This window comes from Homo sapiens, chromosome 14 (genome assembly GCF_000001405.40).
Source record: "Homo sapiens chromosome 14, GRCh38.p14 Primary Assembly".
Classification (NCBI taxonomy): domain Eukaryota; kingdom Metazoa; phylum Chordata; class Mammalia; order Primates; family Hominidae; genus Homo; species Homo sapiens.
Window position 1 is genome coordinate 91,348,724 of NC_000014.9, and position 18,199 is coordinate 91,366,922.

The following is an 18,199-nucleotide window of genomic DNA, read 5'->3' on the forward strand; positions in this document are numbered from 1 at the left end:
TTAAAGGTAGAGAATTAAGTTTAGAAAAATATTCATGAAAAAAATAAACTCTTTGGTGATGAACAGGTTACTAAGAAATTCACCTCTGCCCTCATTCAAATGAAGCAGAGTGATGCTTGCTCTCACCAGGCTGAGTGAATAGAAACATTTGCTTATTAACAAAAACATCCTGTGATCCCCACCCCTACAGATTCCTACAAAATTTTTTTTTAAAAAGCGCCCAGGGCGGGAAGCAGAAGTTTCCTCATTTCTCATGAGAAGCCGATGCCCAATTTCTTTCAGGATTTCAGTCATAAGAAAAACCGCTATTTCCATAAATCTACCAGATTGTGGGTTTTGAATAGTTTCAAAACACAGCAGAAGATTCCCTCCTGGGTCCTTGCCAGTAAGACTGGCTCAGTGACACAGTCAAGCAGGCCAAGATCAAACAAACCTACAGACAGCTCCCTGCCAAGTACCTACTATGTGCTGGGAGCCAAACCAGCAATCAGAAAGCTGATAAATGCTATGGGAACCCGGGAAAGGAACTTCTAATTTGCAGCAAGGCCCAGGGCAAGGACTCTAAAGGGAATAACCTTTGAGCTGAGTTCCACAGATAAGGAGGAGACAGACTTATCGGGTAGGCAAGTGTGGGCTTTCCAGGCCCAGGGAACAGCACATGCGAAGGCCAAGAGGTAAGAGAGCACGCTGCTTGTCAAAGTATAAGTGCTTTATGGTTACACTTACTCGAGCTGCTGTTCAGAGGGAGAAACGGGGGCAGGTTATAAAACGACGTGAATTTCTACACCAAAAAAGTCACAAGCAACCACTGCGGGCGGGGATCGAGAAACATCAGACCGGACACACTCCACACTTAACACAACTACACTCTGTTGAGAATAGGAGAACCCCTGGGGGAATCCCAGGACGGCCTGAGTCAATAGCTGAGTCTAAGAAAAACCTTACCTTACTACCTGCTTCCTGGAGTCTTGACACAAAGAAATTCACCCCAGCCTTTCTTAGCAGAAATGCAATGCAGGCAGGCCAACATAAGCTATATAGAAAGCTGCAGACGTTAACAGTCATAAGCTTCCAAAACAAAAGGGAAACTGCCTGATAGCACACGTTTCTAAGGGCAGAGGTGAGGATAGAAAAGTAGTTGCACAATTAAAATACACCATCCTCTAAAATGTGCATTATATCAAGGTTTGAAAATTCCCCGACTTGCTAACTCTGAGTCCATGGCAGACATGATTAGTCAATCACAGCACTTTCTGACTTAGGGTGGAACTAGGCCTCAGAATCCTTCTGAACACAGCCCTCCACAGACTACCAGTTAATGGAAGTTAACACATGGAACAAAACCTATCTTCCTTCCATGACTGGTACATAATGTGTATAGTCCTTTTTGACTCCACTCTGGTTCTTTAAGCTGTAGTCATGCACATGTTCAGAAGACACTTTTTTTTTTTTTTGGAGACAGAGTCTCACTCTGTCACCCAGGTTGGAGTGCAGTGGCACAATTTCGGCTCACTGCAAACTCCGCCTCCCGGGTTCAAGAGATTCTCCTGCCTCGGCCTCCCAAGTAGCTGGGACTACAGGCACCCACCACCACGCCTGGCTAATTTTTGTATTTTTTAGTAGAGACAGGGTTTCACCATGTTGGCCAGGCTGGTCTTGAGCTCCTGACCTCAAGTGATTCATCCGTCTTGGCCTCCCAAAGTGCCGGGATTACAGGTGTGAGCCACCATGCCCAGACAGAAGACACTTTCTGATTTCTGGATACAGGAACTAATTCTTGTTGTGTATAAACAATGACTGAGGTGTGAAGCTGGGGATTTAAGCAATGGCAGGCAAGCATCCCTTTCCCTTCCTGCCCCAAACTGCACACTCTCTGCCCTTGCTGGGGTCAAAGGCACAGTGATGTCTCTCCACAGACGAACAGGGGTCAGAGATAAAGCAGTGAAACTGATTCCTCTGTCTTGCTAACTCAGCTCCCCACAACCACAGAGGCCCAGGACCTGCAAATGACCAGCCAGGCTCAGGGTTTAACCCTCACAACCTGGAAGGACTGACCATATTCCATAGAGTAATTCTGCCCTTCCCTCCTACAGACCACCATTACTGCACCTTAATATACGGCATGCTACCATGTGACTTAATTCTAAAAGCAATCCCCCGAGGACGGCATGATGACTCCATCTCAGAAATAGAAGGATGCAGCTCAGAAAGGCTGAGTCACAGAACTAAGATCTGTCCCCGGGTCCACCACTACCTACCATCTCCTAACTTATTTATGTTTCCTTCCAAAGCAGGGAGCTATGTGGTTTCGCTTCTGATCCCGGTGGTCCCACGCAGGTTGTTTAACCAGCGTTTGCTGACTGAGTGAGGTTAACTGTTAGCATCAAGTACCTGGGTTAGAACCGCAAAGAGAGCAGTTTCAGTTTCTCTCTTCTACGGCACGTATGTGTGCTTACTTATTCTACATTCTCTTCTCTTCTGGCTTACATGCTGGTGTGAACCACTAACTGCTTTCCCTGGTTTTGTACTTAAAAACCAGTTATTTCATAAGGATGCTCACGAGGCTGTCACAGTGATTTGAAAACAGCAGTGCACTGAACACGACCCTGTTGTCTCTCCTCAGTACACGGGCACACCCCAACACTCACTCACATGGGCACGGCTCTGAGGGCCCTCCTGAGGGCTCAGCTTACAACGAGAAGAGCTGTTTATTATTATTTTAACAGTTGGGGTACTTCCTAGGCACTGCCGAGGAATACTCAAGGTGGAGAGTTCCCCGTGGGTGGGCACATGGGGATGCTCCATCATATGTGTCCCCACCCATGGGGAAGGAGGCAGGCACCTCTACGCACGGGCTCACATTCTGGGGAGCGGCCCCTGTGGAATCCTCATGTCACCACGTGCCCCCACCCCCCGGCATTAACATAACCAGGCACACATATTTATCAAACGTGGACTCTGGCAGGCGCTAAGCTGCATGCCTGTGTGGAATGGTGCAGGAGCCTCCCGGGGGCACTCTGACTAGTGGCCCTTTACTCTAGTGTCTCTCTGCTGCCCATGTCAAGTCAGTCCCACCCCCACAGATACCCCAGCACCACCACGCACAACAGACGACAGCTACCCCCAGGTCATGTAGAACACTTTGAAATATCAGCCCCTCGGAGCACCCTCACCCCAAAAATGACCTCCTACCCCACCTGCCTGCCACGCCTGCAGAAGCTGAGAGCGAATTCATTTCCCAGCACCAAACAACTGAAGACCAGAAAAGCAGAATCAGCCACAAGCCTGCAGCTTGAGACTCAAGTTTGCCCTGGGAAGGGGCGAGGAGCTAGGGCAGGCAGGGGACGCTCTGGGAAAGGGTCCCTCCCAACCACCACGTGGAAAACTCAAACATAAAGACCTTTGACAAATAGCATCTCTTCCCTCCTCCGCAGACGGCGGTGGCCACAGAGAGTAGGGCTGCTGGAAGCCATGGTGTGGCTGTTGCAGCCAGCGGCGTTCTCTGTGTGCCTGGGCCATCGCTAGGAAGTTTACTAACAAAGTCTGGTCTCCAGGCAGATCCGCGGGTGCTTGGAGGCCGGCGTGTGGGCCGCACTGTGACGCTCGGCTGGGCTTGGTGTCAGCCAAACTCTGCACCTTCCTAGGAAAGGAAAGCCTCGGCTCCTGGCTTAAGTGCCCCAGCACCGCACGTGGACTGGAGCCCTCATTTCCGGATCCAACAAGCAGCACAGAAGCAAAGAAGCAGGATAGAAACGGGGTAGTTTAAAACAGCATTTGGTTGCTTTTCTGAACCTTCTCTCTCAAGGATGAAAGAGGAAATTTTAGAACAATCAAAATGCCTGCAAGATTAGCTTTTTCTTATTTCTTCCCTCCCATTCAAACGCCCAAAACGTTTTGCAAATATGAAAATTATATATATATACACACACACATATACACTTATACACAGGATTAGAGAATTATGGCCAGGAGAAATAAAATAAAAACAACAGGGGTAGGGGAAAAGAACACAAGAATGGCTCATGAAGCCTGAGTGGCCGACCCTCAGCCTCCACACCACACGGTGAGCAGGCATGGAGCCAGGGGCAGGACTGGGAGGGCCGCAGGGCCAGGAAGACAGGGCTTTTGATTTTTAAAAGCACCATCTCTGCAGCAGGAGGACTGTTCCTCACAAGCCGGACTCTGAGCCTGTGCCTGGGTTGCCAGGATGGAGGTCAGTAAGCCTGGGGCACACCCAGCCCTCACAAGTTCCCCGGGGCCCCCGAAGGAAGGCAGGGCTGTGCCGTGTGGGCTACGAGAGAGAGGTTTCCATGGGATCTGAAAAGCACTCCAAGGACACACTGGCAGGAGAGCAAATCAATACTGAGAGGGTTAAATATTAAATTCCAAGGAGTTTCAGGAGGTCTGTTTCCTCTGGCCCATGAATCCTAAACCTCAGCTGTCACAGAAGGCCTCCTCCTTGCCCCAGGCTTGCTGATCCTCATGAGACTTCCAGCAACTTGCACTCCCCTGAGCTCGTTCCACCTAGAACACCTTTCCTCGCTTTCTCTGTCCGTGGCTTGCCCAGATATTGCCTCCTCCAGGAAGCCTTCCTGGCCTGCCCAAGCAGAACTCATCAGCCCCCTTGCACTGGCTGTGAAGCACATTCTTGCACCATCTTCTGTCCTAGAATAAATGTCGCAGGACTCTGTCTTCCCTTCCTGCCTCAACCCAGACTGGGGGCTTCCTGAGCAGAGGCGGCCTGTTCATCTCACCAGCAGAGGGGAGCTAAAGGAGGGGCTTGGGCTGAGCTCCTTTTGTGAGCCTCTGGCTGAGGGGCAGCCAGCTAAGATGAGGAAGGATGAAAAGGTACTCCAGTCTTTTATTTGGGGAGGTCAGAAGTCGGGCCTTCTGGCTTCCTCAGCCGGTGCAGTAGATAGAGTTCTGCACTCAGCTGAGAAGGAAGGTCGGTCACAGCATTTTGTGCGCACAGAACCTTGTCTCTTCAGGGTGCTTCCTCTGCTGCTGGAATGCGCACCCTCTGTAACCATCATAAGAGAGAGAAAACATAGGACAGAGGGCCAGGCCGCTGAACGGCAATTAATGAAACCCCAAGGCTCTTCTCAAAGGTTCCAGGGGCATTCAGACAGGACCCTGTAGGGTGTGCATATGCAGTCGCAGCCCCTCCAGGGCTTCCAGGAATCCTGCTTGGCATTTAGAATGTAAGAAACATCAGGGCAGACCAGTGACAGTAACCCTCTTGCTTGGAACCAGTGGCTTACTGTCCACAAAAGTAACCATCTGTGCAATTTATGGTGTGAAATCTGTCTTGCGCCTATGGGGACCTCCATGCTGTGTGCCTCTGAATGAGCTCCTCCGCTCTCTGGGCTGGGCTTCTACACCTAAATGGCTCGTTCCCTTCCATTCTAAATGGCTTCGGTGGGATCGGCCATGTGTAAGTCTGGAAACCACTACTATACTTGGATACAAACCCTGGAAGAAAAAACAATGCTTTCTTCCAGTGCAACTGTCCTGTGATTCATCGCAGAAAGTAATTTGCTAACACCCTGGCTTCCCGTCAGACAAATCTAGTCTTTTCTTGTGCGTGTGGCACAGTGACAGGCCTGGCTGCTGAGCAAGATGCTGAGAAGCCAGAGCTGGAGGGACCCCGGAGCTGGTCTAGCTCCATCCAGCATCCTCCCTCACAGCACAGACGTGAGCTCTTGCTTCTCACAGGCTTCTTGTAGAAAACACTCACCAGTAACCGCGAAAGATATTTAATAGCTGTGCAGCTGGCAAGATGGTGAAGGCGGTTTTCAGGGAGTCATCTCAGGCCTAGGGGAGACAGACACGTGGTACTGGGCAGAGAATGAATCTCACTTGACCCTGACCACTGACAACTGGCCTTCTTATCTATGAGAGCAAGTGGGTAACACCTGTCAGGGGCCCCAGCTTGACGGGAGAGCAAAGTGGAGAGAGGAAGAGAGAAAGGTGGGCCCCCTGCATGGATGCTGTATTTACTGAGCACCTACTACATGCCAGACACTGATCTAGGCATTCGAACGCACTGACAACAACAACAAAAAACCCCAGGATTCCTGCTGTCATGAGAGCGTGCACCCTAACGGGGGAAAAGTATGCAATGCCACAGAGGGGAAAAAATAAGTGAACAGTATAGGCTATTCACAGGTGCCAAAAGATATGGAGAAGGGAAAGCAGAGCAGAACAAAGAAGACAGGGCGTGTGGCAGGAGAGACAGGTGGGGCCACACTGAACAGGGGCTCACAGGAGGTGTTTACACAGCTCGCTGGCAGAGGGACCGGCAGGTGCACAGGCCCTAGTGCCCGGAGCGGGCTGCAAAATGACAGTCGGCTGACCTGAGGAGTGGGCTGCTCGGGCTGCCATGCTGGGAGCAGACTGCAGGGGGCAGAGGTGAGGACACTGCCCTGGGGAGCAGCCAGGCGGAAGCAGGGGAGCTGGTGGTGGTGAGGAGGGCTGCAGAGGAGAGCTCGGCTTCTGGGGGTGCACTGAGGGTAGACCCGGGACACCAGGCGACAGCGCAGACACGGGTAAGAGGGAAGGATAAGGATGGCTGAGGGGAAACAAGGCGAAGGACGCTCTACGGCACTCAGGCCCCAGAAGCCTGCACACCGCCTCACTATGGGGGCAGGCTCTTATAAGAGCCGTCATATAAAAGTGAGGGCGGGGTTCAAGCAGGGTCCAGCCAGAGCCCAGGCCGTGCTCGGAGAAGCAGAGACTACAGCAGTGAGGCACCAGACAGACCCTCCCCTCCCCGGGGGCGTGGGTGCAGCTGAGAGTGAGCTGCAAAACCACAGCACCATCAGAGCAGAAATCCAGAGACGGTCCCAGGGCAGACACAGCGTAAGGGAGTGAGGAGTTTGGGCCGGGACGGGCAGATGCTGAGGAGAGATTTCAAAAGCAATTTTCAGTATACGAAGTACTGTTTCATAGTTACTGCACTGTCCTTGACTTCCACCCAGGATAGGAAGAGAGTGAACACCCTTCTGTCTGATGGGTGTGGGGGGTTAAGTGAGACATACAGAAAAACTGTAAGTTGTGGCACCTCCCTTTTTTAGGTCAGAGAAAGGGGACAAATGCGTAGACTCTCAGGGTCTTTTAGTATCATTGTGTTGGGGAACAGTGGGTGGACCAGATGCTCTGTTGGGATCTGGAATCTGGGAGCTTGTGATGCTATGTGCCCAAAACAGAAAAGTTACCCCAAACTATAAAACGTTATAAATAACAGTACAGTGTTAGCATCCATCAAAAAGAGTACAAAGCAAGCCCCTCACACACGACGGGGATAGATTTAGTCAAAAAGCACACACATGCCCCACCCCGGGCAACCATACAAATTAAAAAAACACCAACTTTGTTCTTTGTTTAAAAAGAAACGAAAAGAGCTTCACACATCTATTTTTACAATTTAAAACTGAAAATGCTATTTCATAAATACATCCCTCTGCCCCTAGCACTGGTGTCTGCATCTTCCTGCTGGTGGATGTCCGCTGCCAGCCTCCTCTGCTCTCAGAGCACCATGGGACCCCTGTCAAACCTACTCATCCGTGCACCCAGCTCCCCGTCCCCCAGCCCTGACACGTTGCCCTCTGTGTGCAGCCTGCCGAGGCCACCGTCTAGCATGTCAGTCAGCGAGGCCCGGGGCCCTCTGAGCCCTCGGTGATGGGTAGAGTTATTCCCGTCCTTCACTTTCCCAGCCCTCACTGTCCAGTTTCTCCAACTCCACCTTCAGAGCTGGGACCAGCTGATCCATGTGGGCTGATTATATACCACGGGGGCCCCAGGGACATTCAATTCACCTGTCAACAGTCTAAAACCAGCTTCCTCTTAACATTCTAAAAACTGAATTGTGGTTAGGGTTTTACAGCTTTGTATATTTATGAAAAAAAATCACTGAATTATACACTTACAATGGGTGTGTTTTATAGCATGCAAATGATACCTCAATAAAGCTGTTAAAAAAAAAAATCAGCATCCACATCTTTACAGATGTTTCTGTTTGGCAGCAGACCTGAGATGCGGACCTATGTTCTCTGCCCATGGACAATCTCTGTGGTGTTGGGAGGTGCCTGATGGTAGTGGGGCAGAGAGGGCAGGCTTCCAGATGGTAGTGGAAGGGGAGACACCTGCAGGGATGAGAAGAGGGGGAGCACCAGCAGGAAGGTGGGCAAGCTATGCAGGTAACATTGGAGCTAAAGGGAGGGGTGAGAAAAGGCGGGGAGAAGGATGCGTTTAATATTAGGTTCAACCATATGCCATTTTTATAGGTCAAAAAAGACTGGATATTGGCAATTGCCTACAGTTAAACCTAACCCATAGATGTCCATGTGTGACAGATGAAGAGGCTCAGGTTTGGGGGCGGACAGAGCAGGTTTCCAATCAGCCCCTCTGCTTACAGGCCAACTGGTCAAGGACATGGCACCCAAGCCCTCGGAGCCTCAGTTCTCTCCCTATAAACGGAAATGGGCGCAGCCACACCACAGAAGCACGTTTTCATTCCTTTAAATACAAATTTTAATTAACTAATTAAAGATGGAGTCTTGCCTGTCGTCCAGGCTGGAGTGCAGTGGCACAATCACAGCTTACTGCAGCCTCGACCTCCTGGGCTTAAGCAATCCTTCTGCCTCAGCCTCCTAAAGTAGCTAGGACTATGAGTGCGTGTCACCATGCCCGGCTAACTTTTTTATTTTTTGTAGAACTAGTGTCTCGCCAGCACGCTCGGTCTTTCATTGCATTTGTAACGCACGTTCAGTGCCAAGCACAGGGTGGGCGTGCTAAGGAGTGGCTGTCCCCTCCTTTTGCTCCTCCACTGTCTCCAGGGCAGACGGAGTGGCTGTCCCCTCCTTTTGCTCCTCCACTGTCTCCAGGGCAGACAGAACAACAGGACTAAGCTACCGCCAACCTCTACAGGCATCACTCTCATCTCCTCCCGTAACCAGCCCCAAATAAACTAGGAAGGTGGCAGAGTTCTGCTCAGCAAAACAGGCTCCACTTCCCTGAAGTTACCAGAAATCATGAGAGTCCCCCGGTCCCTGGAGCCCAGGGCTGTGGCCAGCATGGACTGCATCTGGCGTCCCCGCCCTTCTCTGGGGGAGCCATGAAATAAAGCCGGAACACACATGGCCCCATGGCAGAGCTGGCAGGGGAGCAGAACCAAAGGCCCCCTGCTACTAACACGGGAAGTGGGGGAGGGCGCTTGCTGCCGGGGGCCACCAGGAGGACCAGGGGTGGCCTCTGCAGGGTCTCCATGTAAGGCGGTGAGTGCCCACAGGCCAGAGCACTGAAGACTATCAGGGGTCCAGGGATGCTCTTCCTTCTGGCTCATGCAAAGGCGGACACCTCAGCCAGCTGGAGCCCAGAAAGAGCGCCCCCACGGAACAAGGAAGCCGCTGCTGATGTTCTCAGGGCGGTGGCACTAAAAGAAGACTGCTCTCCTACCAGCTTTGTCCTCGGCTGGTTACTCAGTGAACTCTTCTAAAGTCTCAAGGCCACTAGCTACTGTCATACGGACAGGAGAGGGGATGGCCAGGCTGCAGTGAGACCAGGCTGAGGAGACGCCAACAGAGGAAGCCCGAGTCCCTTTTGGAAATGTCTCTAATGTTTAGGATTCACGGTTTATTACCATCCTACAGGTGTGGCTTTTCCTGTGTTCCTTGACCCCTCACCTACTCCAGGAGGCCCCAGACCTAAGGTTTCAAAATGATGACAAGGTCTCCATCAGAACAAGGGAAGTCCTAGCCAGCGAGTAACTCTGTCCCTGGGGCCTGCGACTTCTGTCCACCAGCTATGGGTGCAGGTAAACACACACAGGTGAAAGGGACGCAAGGCATTACTCCATTTAATGCACCAAGGAAGTTATCTGACAGGCAGAGATTAAGTTCTGACTTTCTGTAAGATGCCAGGAGGACATTTAATTTGGTCTTTCTTTTTTTCATTTTATAATTAGAGATGAGATCTCACTATGTTGCCCAGGCTGGTCTTAAACTCTTGGGCTCAAGCGATCCTCCTGCCTCGGCCTCCCAAAGTTTTGGGGTTATAGGAGTGAGCCACTGCGCTCGGCCTCATTGAGTCTTTCAAACTCACACTGAGCGTCAGAGACTGCGGGGACCTAGAACGCGTGCCTGCCAGGAGAGCTGAGTCCAACAGGGAGACATAAGACAGATCAATGAGCTCCGTCACCGAGCATGAACCTCGCAGGACCCCAGTGACAGATGTCAGTTCTCTAAAGAGATTCTTACTCTCTTGTCTAAGGTACCACACTCCCTGATGGTGTCAGCTGATTCCACACTTACTGAGGAGGTGAGTCCACCAGATGGTATGACTCAGGCACCTAAACCCAAACTCATCTTCCCAGGAGGAACAAGGCGGTGGCCTCACTGGCCTCTGCACACACATCTGAGCGGTTGGGAGGCTTCATTCTTTTTTTTTTTTTTTTTTTTTTGAGACACAGTCTTGCTCTGTGCCCAGGCTGGAGTGCAGTGGCACAATCTCAGCTCACTGCAAGCTCCGGGCCATTCTCCTGCCTCAGCCTCCCGAGTAGCTGGGACTACCATGCCCAACTAATTCTTTGTATTTTTAGTAGAGATGGGGTTTCACCTTGTTAGCCAGGATGGTCTCGATCTCCTGACTTCATGATCCGGCCGCCTGGGCCTCCCAAAGTGCTGGGATTACAGGCGTGAGCCACCGCGCCCGGCCTGGGAGGCTTCATTCTTAAGGAAGAAATGTGCCCTTGGCTGAATGCCTCAGGGTAATGAACCCACTCTTTAAAATCTCACCAAAACGATCACGTGTTTTCACTGTGCTGGCCCAAGCTGGCAGCCGGAGCTCGATGGCCAGCAGCTGCCCAACGCCATGCCTCTGGCTGGGCACCACAGGGGAGAAGGGAGCGGCTTTCACTCACCAGACAGTGGGTCTCTGCCAATCATCAAAACATTGGGCAAATTCATTACAATCAGCTGCTGGAGAACTTCCTGCAGAAACAAAGGGGGAAAAGATACCATTAAGAACCGGAAACAAAAATAAAGAGGGATTAAGTAAATTACAAGTAATGAAGCCCCCGGACGGGTGCACAGCCATCCCGTGGTGACTACGAAGGAGCTAAAATGACAGCAAGGAGCACGTAAGATGCAAACAAACACGAAAGCCAAAGCCTAACTGTATTTCTGTCTTGATTGTTAGCAAATAAAAAGTATGCCTACAAGAGATTTAATGGGGTTATGAAAAAAGAAAAAGCATATTTAAAAAATAAAATGAAAGCTAAAGTTATGTCTGCATAGGTAGAGAGGTCTTGGAAAAAAAGGCAATAGATGACATGCTAGGACAGCAGTATGATGTTTCTTTTTTAAAAGATACCCTTATTTTTATTGTATGGCTTGTGCAATTAAAAAATAAGGAGGCCAGGCGCAGTGGTTAATGCCTGTAGTCTCAACGCTTTGGGTGGCTGAGGCAAGAGGATAGCTTGAGGCCAGGATTTCGAGACCAAGCCTGGGCAACATAGCAAGACCCCATCTTCACACACACACACACACACACACACACACACACACACACTCTTAAATTAGCCAGGTATAGTGGTATGTGCCTGGGATCCCTGCTACTTGGGAGGCTGAGGTGGAACAATCGCTTGAACCTGGGTGGTCGAAGATACAGTGAGTTATCACACCACTGCACTCCAGCCTGGGGAACAGATGGAGATCCTGTCTCCAAAAAAGAAAATAAGAAGAAGAAGAAATAAAGATTAAAGAGATGCTACTGAGCCTTTCTAATCTGATGGTTCAGGATCCAGCACTAAGCAGGTCTTTGGTACAAGTTATAAATGAGGAGACTTCTCTCATTTATAGCATGGGCTTCCTAAGCGAGGGATACATCAGAGCTGCTCTGCCCAGCCCGAGGTGGGGCACAGGCGATGAGCTGCCTTCCCGCCCTCACACCCGTGGGCTTGGAGAGAAGGCCCAGGCATCAGCTATCAGTCATGCCCGCTCGTCTGGGTACAGGCTCTCCTCAGCGTGCCGGCTCACAGCCCAGTCTACCACTTACATCCCCCTAAGTATTTCTTGGGGCAGATCAGTCTTCTGTGCCTAGATGCAGGACGTTGTTCACAAATAAGGAGATTTTAAAATTCCAGTTCTGGTGGGGCACGGTGGACACGCTTGTAATCCCAGCACTTTGAGAGGCTGAGGTGGGAGGCTTGAGCCTGGAGTTCAAGACAAGCCTGGGCAACACAGAAAAAACTCGGATCTACAAAAATTAAGAATCAGCTAGGTGTGGCACTGAGGCCTTGTGGTCCCAGCTACTCGGGAGGATTGCTTGAGCCCAGGAGTTCCAGGCTGCAGTGAGCTATGTTGCACGAGTGCACTCCAGCCTGGGTGACGAGTAAAACCCTGTCTATAAAAAAAAAAAAAAAAAATCCAATTTTACGGAAGACAAAAAAGAGGGTGGGTTTCATAACTATTCTACAAGTGGCCACTATAGAAATTCTTCACCAAGAAAGCTCCTGTTAGGCCTTTAAAAATGTGTTTCTGTTAAGACACAACTAGTTTCGTAAGTCGCTCTATTGCATAACATGCGGAATCTCTATATCCAGTGTGCTGCTAACTAGCACTCGAGAAGAAGAGGGGGATAATTACACAACCCACATGGCCCGAGTGCGTATCTCAGACCATCTCTGAGTCAGATTAGAACGGGGGCCGAGGCCGCATGCCAGGAGAGGCCAGCACCTGCAGAGAACATAGAAGATGGTCTTCTCGTCCCTCCTTATTGTCTTTCTATGGCTCCTATCCACACTGCAGGAGGGGATGTTAAACCGTGAGGTGTACTCTACTCCTGAACACACCAACCCCCCTCCACTCAGTGCTGGAAATCACATTTCTCCATTATCCAGGGTCACATGTCACCGTGTCAGCAACGGCTAATGCTTTCTCAAACATGTCTCAGCTGGTAAATATCTGTACGTGTTGGACAATAGTGTGAGTTGTTTAACAGCCTCAGCCCTCCTTTAGGGCTTGGGAAAAGTCAATGTGAAAAAATTGTCTCTTAAATGCATGAGTTTGCCAAAGGGTTCCAACACCCTCGCCCTACCACCCCCGGCAAAATACACCAGTAAAATCAGTGAAATCTGCTTTCCAGCTAATTTACTCAGTGAAAGGAGAGTGCCCAATGACATGAGCCTGTCCGTCACACAGCTCCCTCCCAGCCTCAAAACTACACTCCAGGCTGGGTGCAGAGGCTCACGCCTGCAATCCTAGCACTCTGGGAGGCCAAGGTGGGCGGATCACCTGAGGTCAGGGGTTCAAGACCAGCCTGGCCAACATGGTGAAATCCTGTCTCTACTAAAAATACAAAAATTAGCCAGGCCTGGTGACGCATGCCTGTAACGTCAGCTATTTGGGAGGCTGAGGCAGGAGAATTGCTTGAACCCAGGAGGCAAAGGTCGCAGGGAGCCGAGATCGCACCACTGCACTCCAGCCTGGGCAACAGAGCAAGATTCTGTCTCAAAAAAAAAAAAAAGAAAAAAAAGACTACGTTCCAGTGTTCCAGTCAACCCAAAAAACAAAGGTCATCACCAGCAAACCAGCCACAATCCCCTTTCCAACTCTTGGCTAGCTTTCTTCTGCCATTTGTCCAAGCTCAGCCCTGTATCAGGGTGAACGTGTTTATAAGCGAGATGCAATATGTGAAATCATCCTGTTTTGTTGTTTTGTTTTTTGAAATAATCTGAAGGTCACTGCAAAAAATGCAAATTGTTATTTTTATGTGAATGTTAATCTAAGCAAAACACTGCTAGAAATATTGCTAGAAAATGTATGTGTTCTCCTTCCAAAACAGGATGTTTAATTTTGTCTAATCAGTACTTTCTAGTTTTCCCACAAGAAACATGTGTCATTTGTGCAATTAAGAAATAACGTTTTGCCGGGCGCGGTGGCTCACGCCTGTAATCCCAGCACTTTGGGAGGCTGAGGCAGGTGGATCATGAAGTCAGGAGATCGAGACCATCCTGGCTAACATGGTGAAACCCGATCTCTACTAAATATACAAAAAATAAGCTGGGCGTGGTGGCGGGTGCCTGTAGTCCCAGCTACTCAGGAGGCTGAGGCAGGAGAATGGCATGAACCCGGGAGGCGGAGGTTACAGTGAGCCGAGATTGGGCCACTGCACTCAAGCCTGGGTGACAGAGCGAGACTCCATCTCAGGAAAAAAAAAAAAAAAGAAATCATGTTTTAGGAACAGACAATATCTTTCTGAGTTGTTCCTTTCAAAACACCATGGTTCTCCTAAGATGTAATCCTATGGCCAAAGCTACTCTCGAGCCATTAACTGGTCCCCTTAAAGAACCATCAATCACATTTCCAGCAAAAACTGGCTCAGATGCCAGGGCTGTCCAGCAATATACATAATTGAGACACATTAATTTCAAATTTTCTATTAGCCATCTTTAAAAAAGTAAAAAGAAACAGGTGAAAATATTCAACTTTAATTAAGCCAATATAACCAAAATATAATCATTTCAACCCATAATTGACATAAAAATGTATTATTTTACTTTTTTTTTTTGGAGAGAGGGGGTTTCACCATGTTGCCCAGGCTAGTCTTGAACTCCTGGACTCAGGCAATACCCCCACCTCGGCCTTCCAAAGTGCTAGGATCACAGGTGTGAGTCACCTTGCCCGGCCTTTGCATTCTTTTTCCATACACTTTGAAATCAGTGTGTATGTTACACTTACAGCACATCCCAATTCAGATGCTAAATTTTCACTGGAAATACTTGACTGTTTCCAGATTTCACAAAATCTAGAGTTGAAAAAGTTCATTTGTTGGAGGTATAATATGCGAGATTAAGAAAAAATAATAAAAAAAAATTTTTAAGAAAGAAAAAATAGACTTGTATTCCCAGGTTGTTCCAAACACATTTAAAAGTTTTCCTACAACTGAACTGAGTACCAGTTTTTAAATTTAAATGAACTAAAATAAAAAATTCATTTCCACAGTCACACTGCGGTATCTCCAGGCCCTGAAGGCCACATGCGACTGGTGGCTACTGGGCCCCAACACCAGGCCTTTGCCCTCCCCCGCGGGGAATGTGGTGGGGTGAGGGGCCTCTGGGCTGGCCCTCAGTCTGGCAGGGACGTGAGGAGGCTGCTGACGAGGGGACCCTCCCACGTGGCATCAGAACAGAAAGCCACTCACTTGGAGGCTGCAGCTGATGCTGTCCTGCCAGGGCACCTGGTCACACCCCAGCCAGCCACCTGTGAGGCAGGACCACACCAGGCTGGAGAGTGCAAGCCCAGTGGTGCTCTGGACAGGCCCCCACATTTGCCAGTGAGCCCTCCTTGTGCCACTCTAGTCTTTGCAATGGCAGAAACAAGTGCCAAGGCAAGCTTGAGGGACAAGGGACACACACCAGCCTCGCTGAGGCCTCTGTCTTGTCACCGGTCCTTGTGGTCTGATGGACAGGGAAGAAGAGGGTCAGGCTTGGCACATGGCCCTCCAAGGGAACCCCCTTCCGCAGAGCACATGGTAGGGGTGTGGCATTGCAATCCAGGGTAGATTGCACTCCTCCCCACTTCTCCTTTAGGTTTGCTTTCGGATCCTAAAATAAGATTTTGCTTTTCATAAATGACTTGCTTTTCAACTGCATCCTGGAATGACTCCTCGGCCAATTAAATGCTTTAAACAAACCAAAAGAAGTCAATGAACAAAGGGTCAGAGGCAGGTGCATTTGTGTTTTGGATACTGCAGGGGCCACTGGTGTCCCTAGGGGTTGGGGGAGAGCAAGGCTGAAAAGCGCTTTGTAATCTCACAAGGGGAGAGGGCCCACCCACCTGACAACACCCTGGCCTCAAATCTAAAATCTAGGCTCTTATCAGTCACCCCAAGGGGGAGGGTTGGGGTGGGCCAGGACCCCCTCAGGAAGCATTTGTCACCCCGGCAGGAAGGTGGCAGGGGCAGCAGTTGTGTCTGCACACGGTGTCAACAAGCCTCCATTCCCAGCTCCCAACCCAGATCACAGGAAGCAAACTGAAGGTGGCCCAGAGCATGCTGCATCTCAAGGCCTGTAGCGGTGGCTTTCCAAGGTCACAGGCGTAGAGTTCTAAGAACAGAACCAAAGAGAAAGCTGATTCTATTAGAACCTGCTGGGGACAAACATCAATGTACTTGTTGAGAAATCGGGACCATCCCCAAAACACAGGATACAGGTGTCCCACTCCAGGCTTCATAGGCAATGAAGCTCTGACAGGGGAGGACGACATCAGATCGTAGCGGCGCCTGGTTAGGGAGTGACGCCCATGCTGGGTGGTGGGGCCACTGCAAACAAGACCAGCGTCCAGGCCAATGCTGTGACGCTAAGCACTTGTCACTGCTGGCTCCAGGAGGCCACAGGCACCCTACGGTCCCCTCCAGCCTAAGTGCTCTCCTCCTCTCCTCCAACTCCCTCACCCCTCACCCCTCACCCCTCCCAGGCAGGTTTCACCTTGCTGGGGCTTCTGCCCTCCTGAGAGGCAGGACAGAATGAGAGGCAGGACAGAATGAGTGGCAGGCAGGTGTCTGGAGCCCATGAAGCAGGTAGGGACCAGGACGGGAAGGGACTAGGCTGGGAAGGACCCAAGGAAAGGGGTCTGAGCGCCTCCCTTCTCCACCTACGGTGGCCCCTCACGCCCCACATGACCCTGTATGGCTCCTGGGGCTTGTAGATGAAGCTCATTTTCTGTTTTGTCCAGTTGAGGCCATTAAACTGTTAGGGGGACAGGCCGCCTCATTCCTTTTCAGCCAGTCTCTATCTGGGACTTAGAAATGGTGCATCCACTCAACCACGTTCGCCACGGGCTCAATGTCTTGGAGACCCTGAACTGAGCCTGTGCTTTCTTTTGGGACCTCCACCCTTGGTTTGGCAACAAGGTACTCAGCTCAAGTACCTTAAATGACATCCTTAGCCCCGCTCTGAGAACAAGTATGTAGACCCCAACTCTGAGTCAACCATCTACTATGCAATCTGTCAACCACAGACTATTAAAGGCCCAAATCCTCCCCAAAACTACAAAAGGAAGCATGAAAGAGGTGTGAGATTAGAGAACAGCACTCTAACAGTCTTGCTGCAAATTAACGCTGGGGAACGGTTCAGGACGCTATGGCCACTCATCCCATTTAGGAAGGCAGCAAAGAGTGCTCAAAGGTGTAAAAAGATACATAATTGTATGTACAGTAGGAAATGGATGTTGAAAAAAGAAAACAAAACCTCAAAGGAAATATATTACACTAAAATGACAGAATTTTCTTTATTAGAGTGATTAGGGCAAGAGCAAGTTTCCCCAGCATTTTCTAAATATTCTGTAAAGGTTCTCACAGAGACCATATAGTCAGAGGCATCTATTTAACTAGGTATTTCAGCTGTGAACATGACAGACCTACTTAAAAAATACACACACACACACACACACACACACACACACACACACACACACACACAGGGCTGGGCATGGTGGTTCACGCCTGTAATCCCAGCACTTTGGGAGGCCAAGGCGAGCGGGTCACCTGAGGTCAGGAGTTCAAGACCAGCCTGGCCAACATGGCAAAGCCCCATCTCTACTAAAAATACAAAAACTAGCCAGGCACAGTGGCATGTGCCTGTAATCCCAGCTACTTGGGAGGCTGAGGCAGGAGAATTGCTTGAACCCGGGACGCAGAGATTGCAGTGAGCCGAGATTGCGCCACTGCCCTCCAGCCTCGGCAACAGAGCAAGACGGTCTAAAAAAATATAAAAATAAAAAAAAACAAGAAACAAACAAACAAAAAACCATGTATCTGTATCTATATCCATATATCTATAGCCACTCTTTCCTCTGAGACAATTCACCAACTATCCAAGATGAGGAATGAAGTAGATTGCCATTTTAAATAATAGCCACAAAAAGCAAGCTGCACCTTCAAGCATCTTCTCATCAGGAGAAGCCAAGCCTCTTGATTGGGAAGAACAGATGGGAGCCAGGAGCACCCAAGGGGTCTGTAACCAGTGAAGGGGGACGGGGTCCTGGGCGAAAGGCTGACTCTCAGGGTATAAGCCCTGTGAAGACAGAGCCTCAGAGGTCCCAGAAAAGGCCCACTCAACACCTGAGGCAAAGTAAGGGCCTCCTGAAAAGACTTAACAACCTGCCAGGGCCATCTCAACCACTGTGCCTGCTCCAACAAA

General features: G+C 50.0%; 1 protein-coding gene across 5 annotated transcripts in view, besides 11 other annotated features; it reads right to left on the bottom strand.

Annotated features, from left to right (window-relative positions):
* Positions 1 to 18,199, bottom strand: part of CCDC88C (coiled-coil domain containing 88C) — a 146,498-nt gene that overhangs the window by 77,401 nt on the left and 50,898 nt on the right. For 4 of the 5 annotated variants that reach the window (NR_189158.1, NR_189159.1, NM_001080414.4 and 1 more), the window contains exon 4: positions 10,919 to 10,988. Coding sequence is in view for 3 of the 5 variants with exons in the window: in NM_001080414.4 (NP_001073883.2) it covers positions 10,919 to 10,988 (70 nt within the window). In the remaining 2 variants the exon portion in view is untranslated. Of the gene's footprint in view, positions 1 to 3,400; positions 3,509 to 10,918; positions 10,989 to 18,199 lie in introns of those variants that run through there. The other variant, XM_047431418.1, reaches the window with a different exon arrangement.
* Positions 539 to 618: an enhancer, noted in NCBI's record as "active region_8904". NCBI's record gives its function as "activates an Ori minimal core promoter by ATAC-STARR-seq in GM12878 lymphoblastoid cells {active_cell/tissue: GM12878}" and the evidence as "EXISTENCE:reporter gene assay evidence [ECO:0000049][PMID:35858748]".
* Positions 1,996 to 2,045: an enhancer, noted in NCBI's record as "active region_8905". NCBI's record gives its function as "activates an Ori minimal core promoter by ATAC-STARR-seq in GM12878 lymphoblastoid cells {active_cell/tissue: GM12878}" and the evidence as "EXISTENCE:reporter gene assay evidence [ECO:0000049][PMID:35858748]".
* Positions 2,166 to 2,215: an enhancer, noted in NCBI's record as "active region_8906". NCBI's record gives its function as "activates an Ori minimal core promoter by ATAC-STARR-seq in GM12878 lymphoblastoid cells {active_cell/tissue: GM12878}" and the evidence as "EXISTENCE:reporter gene assay evidence [ECO:0000049][PMID:35858748]".
* Positions 3,742 to 4,713: an enhancer, noted in NCBI's record as "H3K27ac-H3K4me1 hESC enhancer chr14:91818809-91819780 (GRCh37/hg19 assembly coordinates)". NCBI's record gives its function as "activates a minimal SCP1, AML or CMV promoter by ChIP-STARR-seq in primed H9 embryonic stem cells {active_cell/tissue: H9 hESC(primed)}" and the evidence as "EXISTENCE:reporter gene assay evidence [ECO:0000049][PMID:30033119]".
* Positions 6,175 to 6,685: an enhancer, noted in NCBI's record as "H3K4me1 hESC enhancer chr14:91821242-91821752 (GRCh37/hg19 assembly coordinates)". NCBI's record gives its function as "activates a minimal SCP1, AML or CMV promoter by ChIP-STARR-seq in naive H9 embryonic stem cells {active_cell/tissue: H9 hESC(naive)}" and the evidence as "EXISTENCE:reporter gene assay evidence [ECO:0000049][PMID:30033119]".
* Positions 11,402 to 11,903: an enhancer, noted in NCBI's record as "H3K27ac hESC enhancer chr14:91826469-91826970 (GRCh37/hg19 assembly coordinates)". NCBI's record gives its function as "activates a minimal SCP1, AML or CMV promoter by ChIP-STARR-seq in naive H9 embryonic stem cells {active_cell/tissue: H9 hESC(naive)}" and the evidence as "EXISTENCE:reporter gene assay evidence [ECO:0000049][PMID:30033119]".
* Positions 11,904 to 12,403: an enhancer, noted in NCBI's record as "H3K27ac hESC enhancer chr14:91826971-91827470 (GRCh37/hg19 assembly coordinates)". NCBI's record gives its function as "activates a minimal SCP1, AML or CMV promoter by ChIP-STARR-seq in naive H9 embryonic stem cells {active_cell/tissue: H9 hESC(naive)}" and the evidence as "EXISTENCE:reporter gene assay evidence [ECO:0000049][PMID:30033119]".
* Positions 15,437 to 15,656: an enhancer, noted in NCBI's record as "active region_8907". NCBI's record gives its function as "activates an Ori minimal core promoter by ATAC-STARR-seq in GM12878 lymphoblastoid cells {active_cell/tissue: GM12878}" and the evidence as "EXISTENCE:reporter gene assay evidence [ECO:0000049][PMID:35858748]".
* Positions 15,777 to 15,826: a silencer, noted in NCBI's record as "silent region_6024". NCBI's record gives its function as "represses an Ori minimal core promoter by ATAC-STARR-seq in GM12878 lymphoblastoid cells {active_cell/tissue: GM12878}" and the evidence as "EXISTENCE:reporter gene assay evidence [ECO:0000049][PMID:35858748]".
* Positions 16,317 to 16,566: an enhancer, noted in NCBI's record as "active region_8908". NCBI's record gives its function as "activates an Ori minimal core promoter by ATAC-STARR-seq in GM12878 lymphoblastoid cells {active_cell/tissue: GM12878}" and the evidence as "EXISTENCE:reporter gene assay evidence [ECO:0000049][PMID:35858748]".
* Positions 16,926 to 17,015: an enhancer, noted in NCBI's record as "active region_8909". NCBI's record gives its function as "activates an Ori minimal core promoter by ATAC-STARR-seq in GM12878 lymphoblastoid cells {active_cell/tissue: GM12878}" and the evidence as "EXISTENCE:reporter gene assay evidence [ECO:0000049][PMID:35858748]".